A 9,777-nucleotide genomic window follows, 5' to 3' on the forward strand; every position below is an offset into this window, starting at 1 on the left:
CCTAAATAAGATTTTTGATTGAAGATGTGTAAGCAGAAAAAAATTAAAATAATAAGGGAGCATGATAAGTGTAAAAATGGGCAAGGAATTCCTGAGAAAAGAGAATAAGAGAAGGAGGACAACTCCAAAATGTTTTACAAAACGAATCAAATTGAAATTTTTAAAAGCGTTTTGCTTTAGGAAAAAAAAAAACAAAAAAACAGCTAAAGTAAATATTTGTAAGGTGTTTGCCATCCAGTCAAGTAAAACAGATTGATTTTTATCTGTAAATTGTTTTTCACTGTGAAAATCAGCTGGCTTCTGTTGTTAGAAATCAGAACACAGTGCATTAGGCTGAATAAATGTGTTGCCTAGTAAACTGGCATGGAACTAAATTACATTCAACTGGTGAGTAGTTTAACGATTTTTTTCTGTAAGATGTGAACATGTATATCTCAAATGGTGTGTCTTACTCAGTCAAATTTGTAGACAGAGAGCTTATAAGCCTAACAGAAAGATAAGAGAAGTCATAAAAGTGATGAGGCAAAGCAGATATCCAAACAGCAAAAGTGTTCTAATTTATCTGTGAACATTTAACTGAAATTAATTCTTATATTGTGACAGCAAGTATCGACGGCCTGTATGCATGAGTTAGAGTCATTCATTGTGAGAATTATAAAGATGATCAATGACTTGGCTTTCTGACAAGTAATATTATGAATACATTAAAATTTCTTGTCCTATTCATGAAGTATCTATCCACTCATGAACACATCAGACATCCTGAATTGTCAGGTATACATACAGGTATACGTAAAAAAACACATATCGATTTAAATATAACATTTTGCAGCACTTATTAGGTGCCCTCTGACTATGTGGCCAATTAATATGAACTTGTGACAAATATACAAAAACTGTCAAGAAAGACTCCTTTTTGACTGCTAGAAAGGAAGATAGTGATGTATATAAAATCATATGTTGAACCAAATTGGTTGAACATATAAAATGTTTCTGGCATTTAGTAAGTGCTGAGGATAGAGAGACACCAAAAGACCACTCAGTCCTGTCCTCAAGAAGCATATAATACAGTTGGGATGGCAGATAAATAATTCGATATATAGGGTAGGATGTGATAAATAGTATTCATTTATTTCCTCCACAAATAGTTTTTAATAATATTAAACACTTAAACACAAGTTTAAAGGAGTGAAATTTAAGTTAGTAAAATTAGAAAATTCATAAATGTAAAATGAAGAAAATATAATATTTAGACATTATTATATGATATGTTATAATAATTATGGTTTATAATATATTATTATAATAGCCATTAGCAACATTAGTTAGGAAGTATGAGAGGAGAGATATTTAAAACAAATTGTGTATTTAAAAGAGAATTCTCTGTGGGGGAGGAGATACTATCTAGATTAGGTGGTAACACTGAGGTGAAGGGACTCTCCAGGCAGAGGAGGGAATACACATAAATAGAATGTGGTGGTTTTTTACTATAAGATTTTAGCCAAGCAGGCACGGAATTTTCTAGAACTACTTTCCCTGTATAATTAGGATTTGGCACAAAGAGCTTTAAGTGAGATTTGGAAGGTACAAGAGGAACAGCAGTCATTACAGAAGATTAGTACAAGCCTCCATGCATGGCCAACCCTTGGCACATTTGCTGCTGATTCACGGGCTTCTCTCACTGGTGTGCATAGACCCACAGCTCCTCTGCCTGCTGTCAGATCGCTTCCTTCAGCTTTTCCAAGTCCTGAGTCAGACACGTGTGCAACTCTGGGGTGAAAGACACCAGCTTCTTCTGCAGATTACCTGTATCATTTGGGTTTGAAGCATATTCTGATGTGTCTTTGTGAATACCAGTTTATTCTCAAGGATTTTAGGTTGTCTTTTCTTTTCTTTTTTTTTTTTTTCTATTTCGTTTAGAGCTTTTCTTCCTGATGGCTTATCTACCGATCAAAGCAACTTCTACCTCACCAGCAGATACAGAGGCAACTTCTTCCATAGATTTCTTCACCAGTTTTCCTTAGCTGTCTCCTTGGTAAGTGACTTTTCTCTGATGCTTCAACCGTCTCCTGGAACTTTACTTCACCCACTTTCCCCAGAATTTTGTAAGGCATAAATCCTTATAATGTGTTTTATTTTATATCACTCACAGTTGTTCTGGTTCCATGATTGAATCCTAACCTATACTTATGGTAAATAATTTAAAGTGTTCATCTAGCAACTATAAATAGATGGTGTGTCTAGAGGAGAGGATGAATGTGGGGAGTAGCAGAAAATAAAGCCAGAAAGAAACCACATTATAATCTATTTTTAGAGTAGGATTTTGGTTTCTATCTTCTACAAATGTCACTTGCTGCTTGTGAAAATGGATTGGAGTGGCTATATCTACAACAGAAAAAAACTGTAGATTAGACTATTGTACATTCAAGAAGATAATGTTAGAAATCTGTACACAGGTAAGAGGGTGGGTGGAGAGGCAGGGAGGGATCAGAGTGAAGTACAAATAAATCTGAATAAATATTTTAAAGTGTATTTGGTGCTTGTCTTGCCATGAGTCTTTGCACTAGCAAAGGTTTCCCAAACTCAAATCCTTGGTTCTGTTTTTCAAACTGCCTTTAAGACATAACATAGTGGATGTATTAATTTTATACCTTGTTGAATGTAAGTGAGTATGGATGGGCATACTGAATAAAAATATATTTCTTAACTCGTCTTTATCAGGAACATTTGAAATCCTCTGGTTCTTTGGCACCCAAATATGAAGGTCATTTCATCAAAGGCCTAAAATTTTCATAGAGAGGATTTGAGAAAGGTGATCTCAATAAAATACAAAAAAAAAAAGGAAGAAAAGCTACAGTAAAAGAAATATTGCTACTTATATATGCAAACGAAGACTGAGGACAACTATTATCAGCTTTCTACTCTTAAGAATTATTTAAGTTGCTACTCCTACTTCTACATTTGGACATTGGTTTACCATGCCATTTTTCCTTATATATATTTAAAAAATCTCTTAAAAATTAAAATGGTAGTATGCATGTTTTCAGGCCAAATATATATTTCCAAACTGTTCTAAATTTGTTACTACTGTGTTTTTACTCCTGAGTAATCAATAACATTGAGTAATAAAGACAGAATTATTTATGTATAAATAAAAATTCTCATGAGAATTTTTGTCTATTTTTCCTTTTCTGAGTTGAAAAGCAGCCATTTTCAACATAGCTAATTGTTGCTACAGTATCATTTTAAATTAATGTGGTACAGTGTATGCTGAAATAGCAGTGGAAAAATATTTAAGTTTTAACAATGCTCTACTCAGGTAAATATCCCTGCAGGAATCAAAATTAATAAATATTATCTTCAGTATACATAATACAATATAATATCTTTAATAGGAGTTGCCATTTTACTGAATATCTTCCATTTGATGTTTGTGAAAAGTTTGTTCATTGACATAGCTCAATAATATTCCATTTTACAAATATACCACAATTAATTAACCTATCCTTCTGTAGATAGACATATGGGTTTCTTTCCTTATTATACATCATATTAAACTTTTATATTATGAACAGTTCATTGAATCTATTGATCCATTTGTGGAGAATTTATATCTTTATGATATTGATTTTTCTTCCTAGAGGTATAATATGCCTTTCCATTTATTTGAATCATTTTTAATGTTTTAAAATTTAGATACATTTAATTAATGTGTGTGTATCTGTATGTAAGCTTACTGCAATGCTAAACAGGTAAATATTCAGAACACTCTGTAAAAAAAAAAAAAAGTTGAACTTCCACCTTAATTACTGACTTTTTTTTAATTAATTGTAAGCAGAAATGGGATACTGTTTTCTCTGCCACATTTCTGTCACCTGTGGTCATAATCCCTCGAGCTGTATAAGGGAAGTTGTCTGTTCAAATCATGCAGTGTTCTTATGTCACAAACCAAAACCTGAGTCTATTATGCTGAGCTAATCTGCTTTGACCTGGGTAATTTCCATCCTGGGTTGATCTGATCTGCCAGGAGGTTTGGCCGTCAGATTTTGGTGACTTCTGCTCCTCAGAGAATTCTCAGAATCCCAAATTGCACCCCATCTCACTAAGAGTGTGGAGAGGAAAAGACAGAAGGATAGAAAAAGAGAAGGAGGAGGAAAAGGAAGTATCTATCTACATGTTTATATCTATACCTTTATTTATACTCACAGTAAAGGACATTTGTCAGAATAGCCCCCAAACACTATTGCCGCACCAACATCTATTAAAATATAAACCATCTTTAATAAATACTGAGCTGTGTAAATATTTATTTGCATGCAAAAGAAAAGCTCTTTAGTATTCTTAAGCCAGACTGAGCAGTCAACAGATGATTTTGATAAATGTCTGTTCATTACCTGAACATTTCCATTGCAATATAAAACAAAGATTTCATCTACATTTTATTTTTGCTCCATGAATGGTTCCACACTTTCTAATCAGTGTTATTTTTAAGATTAAATTTGGATAGTAATGTAAATATGGGAGGGGAATGGGTGTCTAAGAGGATTTTCTGGTTCATAGTCATTATAATAGTCACAATATACAAGATAATTTGTAAGTCTAGGCCCCCTTTTGCTCAGGCAGTCTAATTCTTTATGTCCAAGAATTTTGTCAAAGTAATGTTCTTCATGCTAATAAATATAATAAAAACATACCCTTTTCTGGTAGTTGTCTTCTTTTAATATTAATATGTCATTTTTCTTCATGATTCTAAAAACAAATATGAACTGCTTTGTAAATATTGGTCAATGAATACTTCATGACACTCCCTTTTGAAAGGTGTATGACTTGACAGCCGCTATTTAGACATTTCATTTATGTCATGGGTTTTGTTTTCTATTTTTGCTGTTGCTGTTGTTTTAAATCAGGGCTTGATATTGATGGGGCAAGATTAGGAAGTAAAGAACCACATAGTTCTCTCTCCTTCATCTCTTCCTGTGTTAATAAATGGTTCCATGATCTAATAAAAGAGCAAACACAGGAAACAATAAGGGGAATCAAAAAGTGAAAATAAAACAAACAAATCTAGAAACAAGCAAACTTTATCTTGAGTTTTGTGGACTTCCTGCAGAGATTTCTCAATTCCTGTTTCTACTCCAAATGCATTCATGTGACTAGCATGCTCAGTGAATTGGGCATCTTTTGCTCTTTAAAATTACTTATTTAAGAAAAATTTATGTATACTCTGATCCTCTTAACTCTGTTGCATTTGCAGGTTCAGTATGGCCTCTGCTGCTGAAAAGGCTGTGTGCAATGTAAAAAGTGTGTTTAATTCAACCTTTTATTAATTCATCTATAATTTTGAAATTCAGTTTTTTATTTTATTGACTAGTTAACATCTGCCAATCACCATTAAACATCGTACAAGTATTATTTTCTTCACTCTTTACAGAAACCTCATTCTCAATTTACATGTTATAAGTGACATAGCTAAGGTGTAGAGAAGGTGTATGCATGCAAAAATTCACACAATTCATATCAGACGGAGCTAGGACATAAATTCTAGTTCCTTCAAACTTCTTAACATACTGCCACCACAAATTAAGTATCTTATTGGTAATTTATAAGGAACAGAAACTTATTAACTTAACAGTTCTGGAGGCTGGAAAGTCCAAGGTCAAGGTATCCCTAGGTTAGGGCCCAGTTTCTCTTTTCTCTGATTCCAAGATGGTGCCTTGCATGTGGCATCCTCTGGAGGGCAGGGGAATGCTGGATTCTCACATGGCAGGAAGGCAGAGGGTCAAGAGAGAAAAACCAACCTGAAAAGTCCTTTTATTAATGCACTAAATCCACTCATGAGGGTGAAGTGCTTGTAGTCTAATCACATCTTAAAGACCTCACATCTTAATGTAGTTGCAATGGCAATTAAATCTCAACATGAACTTGGGAGGAGGCATTCAAACTACAGCAATCTGGCCTGACCACCCAAAACTTACATCTTTCTCAAATACAAAATACATTTATTCCATCCCATTAGCCTCTAACGTCTTACATTGTTCTGGCATCAACTAATAAGTCCGAAGTCCAGAGTCCTATCTAAATTAGATATCGGTGAGACTCAAAGCATAATTCACCCTGAGGGAAATTCTCTCCAGTTATGAGCCCATGAAATTAAACAAGTGACATACTTCCAAAAGGTGATGGTGGATAAGAATAAAATAGACATCCCATTCCCAAGTAAAGAAATAGTCAAGAAGGAAGCAGTAACATGTACCAAGTAAGCCCAAAACACAACAGGGCCAGCACATGAAATCATAAGGCTTGGGAATAATCTTTGACTTTATACGCCATCTTCCAGACACACTGGGGTGTGAGCTGGACCCCCCTAAGTCCTCAGGAAACCCAACCCCTATGACTTTGCTGGGCTTAGCCCAAAAAGCAGCTCTCGTGGTTTGGAGTCAGGTGCCTTCATCTTCTCCAGGCTGGCATGGCATGCTGGTACGTCTACAGTTCCAGAGTCTTGAGGTGGCCCTGATCCCATTTCTCCCTTCGGCATTATCCTAGTGGGGAATCTCTGCAGTGTTTCATCCCCTGAAAAAAGTCTGTTTGTGCCCCAAGGTTCTTTATGACATCCTTTGAAATCTATGAGGAGCCATACCTCCATAGCTCCTGCATGGTGTGTACCTGCAAAATTAGCACCAACTGGATGCCACCAAGGCTCACCACTTGCACCATCTGGAGCAGTGGCTCAAGCCTGCCCTGGGCCTACTCTACCCACAGCTATAATGGCTGAGAAGCACTGTGCCAGAATGTGGGGAGCAAAGACCCTAGGTTACACTGGACCACAACACTGAGGTCCCATGCATACCCTGGGCCCATCTCCAAAACAATTCTGCCCTCAAGGCAATAGGGCTCAGAGCCTGTGATAGGAAGGGCAGCCTCAGACATGTCCAAAATGCACTGGGGGGTCTTTTTCCCATTGTCTTAATGCATAGCACCTGGTTTCCTCGTATCCATAGTAATCTCTTTATCAAACAGTTGGTTGGCCATACTCTTGGTATTCCATCTAGAACACACTTATTTATTCTTTACATGATCTGGCTGAGAGTTTTCCAGATCTTTATGTTCTGCTTCCCTTTTAATCATAAGCTGTCTTTAAATCATTTCTATCTGCTTACATTTTAATATACACAATTAAAGGAAACCACACAGCACCCTGAATGCTTTGTTGCTAAGATATTTCTTCTGACAGATACCCTAGTTTATCAATCTTAAATTCTACCTTCCATAAAGCTCTAAGTCATCGACACAATTCAGTCAAGTAGTTTGCCAATGTATAACAAGGATGACTTTTACTCATTCGCATCTGAGACCTCCGCAAAATTGCCTTTACTGTCCATATTCCTATCAACACTGTTTTCAACCACTTAAGTAATCTTTAAATGTTTCAGACTTTCCCTATAGCATTCCTTTTCTTCTGAACCCTCACCAGACTTTTTCAAGCATTAACTTCAAAACTATTTCAGCTTCTATTCCACTATCCAGTTCTAAAGCCACTTTCCCATTTTGAGGCTGTGTTATAGCAACACTCCACTTCTCTGGTACCAATTTATTTGTGCTGCTATAATGGCATACCTGAAATTGTGCAATTTATAAGAAACTGAAATTTATTGGCTCATGATACTGGAGGCTGGGAAGTTCAAGGTCAAGGGATCAGCAGGCCCATGGCCTGATTTCTCTGCTTCCAAGATGGTGCCTTGCATGTTGTATCCTCCGAAGACAAGGGAAATGCTGGATTCTCACATTTAAAGACATCAGGGGGCCAACATAGAGAGTCCATACCAAAAATATCTTTTATTAAGATATTAAACTCTCCCATAAGAATGGATCCCAATGGCCTAATCACTTTGTAAAGTTCCTATCTCTTAATGCTGTTACAGTTGCAATTAAATCCCACCATGCATTTTGGAGGGGACAAACATTAAAACAATAGCAGTCATACACTTCCTTATTGTTAAAGTGCACATTATAATATCTATTTCACAAATTTCTTAGAAGGAGCAATCCCAAGTTACTGTAGGCACAATTCAAAAATAAAAACAATAATCACTGGAGGAGTGATTATTTGAATACAATCTTATGGAAATTCAATAGTAAAATAGCCAGAGCAAGATAATAACATTAATTACTACTGTTTGGAATATTAATTGTTTGGCTTTTTATAAACTTTTCTGTTCATTTTTACTTTTGTTTACTTTTCTGTTCATGACCTACTCTTTGTTAGCCAGAGACTTCCACGTGCCTTTTAGAAGAATTAGGATTGCTGCAAAAGCAATAAAAACAGAATCAATGCCCAGTTTATGACTTCTAAAACCAGCATTTATGTACTTATTTTTGAAAGCCGAAGTTTTTTCTTGTTTTTGTTTTTTGTTGTTGTTGTTTGTTTGTTTTGAGACAGAGTTGCACTCTGTCATCCAGGCTGGAGTGCAGTGGTGAGATCTTGGCTCACTGCAACCTCTGCCTCCTGGGTTCAAGCTATTCTCCAGCCTCAGCCTCCTGAGTAGCTGGGATTACAGGCACCTGCTACCATGATCAGCTAATTTTTGTATTTTTAGTAGAGATGGGGTTTCACCATTTTGGCCAGGCTGGTCTCAAACTCCTGACCTCAAGTGATCTGCCTGCCTCGGCCTCCCAAAGTGCTGGGATTATAGGCATGAGCCACAGCACCCAGTCGAAAGCCAAAGTTTTTAATTATATTTATGTTCTCTATGATTTATCAAGACATGGAGTAAGATAGTGTTTATGAAATGATAATGGAATTCAAGAAGAGACGGCATCCCCTTTTCTTAAGAAATCAGATAAAAATTACCTAGAAGTCAAGTAAGAAAGAAGAGCTGGTTTGGGCTTAGCCTTTGTAAAGTTCACAAGGAACATCCAAGACCCAAAAATGGTGGTTTTGAGTGAGGCTCACTTAAATTTCACACAAAATACATTCAGGGTTCTAGGCTACTGCAGTGATCTGACTAGTTTTGTGTGTGAACCTGAGCTTTCGCACTTGCCCATGTTATAACCACATTGCTACCTCTCTGTCTCTTTCAACTAAGTGCAGTGAAATTGGTGGCAGGCATTTTTTTACAAAAGATAGCTCAAGCCAGCCATCTAACTTTACAACTCAAGGAACCAGAAAACATAAACTATGCTGAAAAATAGCAGAAAGGAGGAAACAATAGAGATTAGAAGATAGAACAATAAAGTAGGGAAAAAATCAATAGAAAATATCAAGGAAACCAAAAGTTGGTTCTATGAAAAGACTGTTAAAATTTAAAAGCCATTACCTAGTTACACTAAGAAAATAAGAGAGAAGATCCCTAATACTAAAATCAGAAACTACCACCAATTCTACAGAAATAGAAAGGATTATAAAAGTACTAAGAACAATTGTATACCAACAAACTCAACTTAGATGAAATGGGCAAACTGCTATTAACGCAAAACTTACCAAGACTAAATCACAAAGAAATTAAAAAATCTGAATATGCCTATAGCTAATAAGGATATTGAATAATCAAAAAACAACCTTCCAATAAAGAAAAGTCCTGGGCCTGATGGCTTAACTGGTAAATTCTACCAAACATTTAAAGAGCTAACACCATTACTTCAATTTTTTTTCAAGAAATTGAAGAGGAAATACTTGCTAAATTTTTCTATGAGGTCAGCATGACCCTGATTCCAAAGCCAGAAAAAGACACTATACTAAAAATGAAAATATAGGCCAATGTCCCCTATAAACATTGATGC

At 35.7% G+C, this 9,777-nt stretch overlaps 1 long non-coding RNA gene across 1 annotated transcript, besides 2 other annotated features; it reads left to right on the forward strand.

Moving 5' to 3' along the window:
* Window positions 1,363-1,492: an enhancer, noted in NCBI's record as "active region_21525". NCBI's record gives its function as "activates an Ori minimal core promoter by ATAC-STARR-seq in GM12878 lymphoblastoid cells {active_cell/tissue: GM12878}" and the evidence as "EXISTENCE:reporter gene assay evidence [ECO:0000049][PMID:35858748]".
* Window positions 1,563-1,632: an enhancer, noted in NCBI's record as "active region_21526". NCBI's record gives its function as "activates an Ori minimal core promoter by ATAC-STARR-seq in GM12878 lymphoblastoid cells {active_cell/tissue: GM12878}" and the evidence as "EXISTENCE:reporter gene assay evidence [ECO:0000049][PMID:35858748]".
* Window positions 1,755-4,693, forward strand: LOC124900848 (uncharacterized). The gene is made up of 2 exons (XR_007058445.1): window positions 1,755-2,035; window positions 2,722-4,693. It is a non-coding gene; the product is annotated as an uncharacterized LOC124900848 (long non-coding RNA).
* Window positions 4,694-9,777: the final 5,084 nt, after the last annotated feature.

Source organism: Homo sapiens, chromosome 4 (assembly GCF_000001405.40).
Source record: "Homo sapiens chromosome 4, GRCh38.p14 Primary Assembly".
Taxonomy (NCBI): domain Eukaryota; kingdom Metazoa; phylum Chordata; class Mammalia; order Primates; family Hominidae; genus Homo; species Homo sapiens.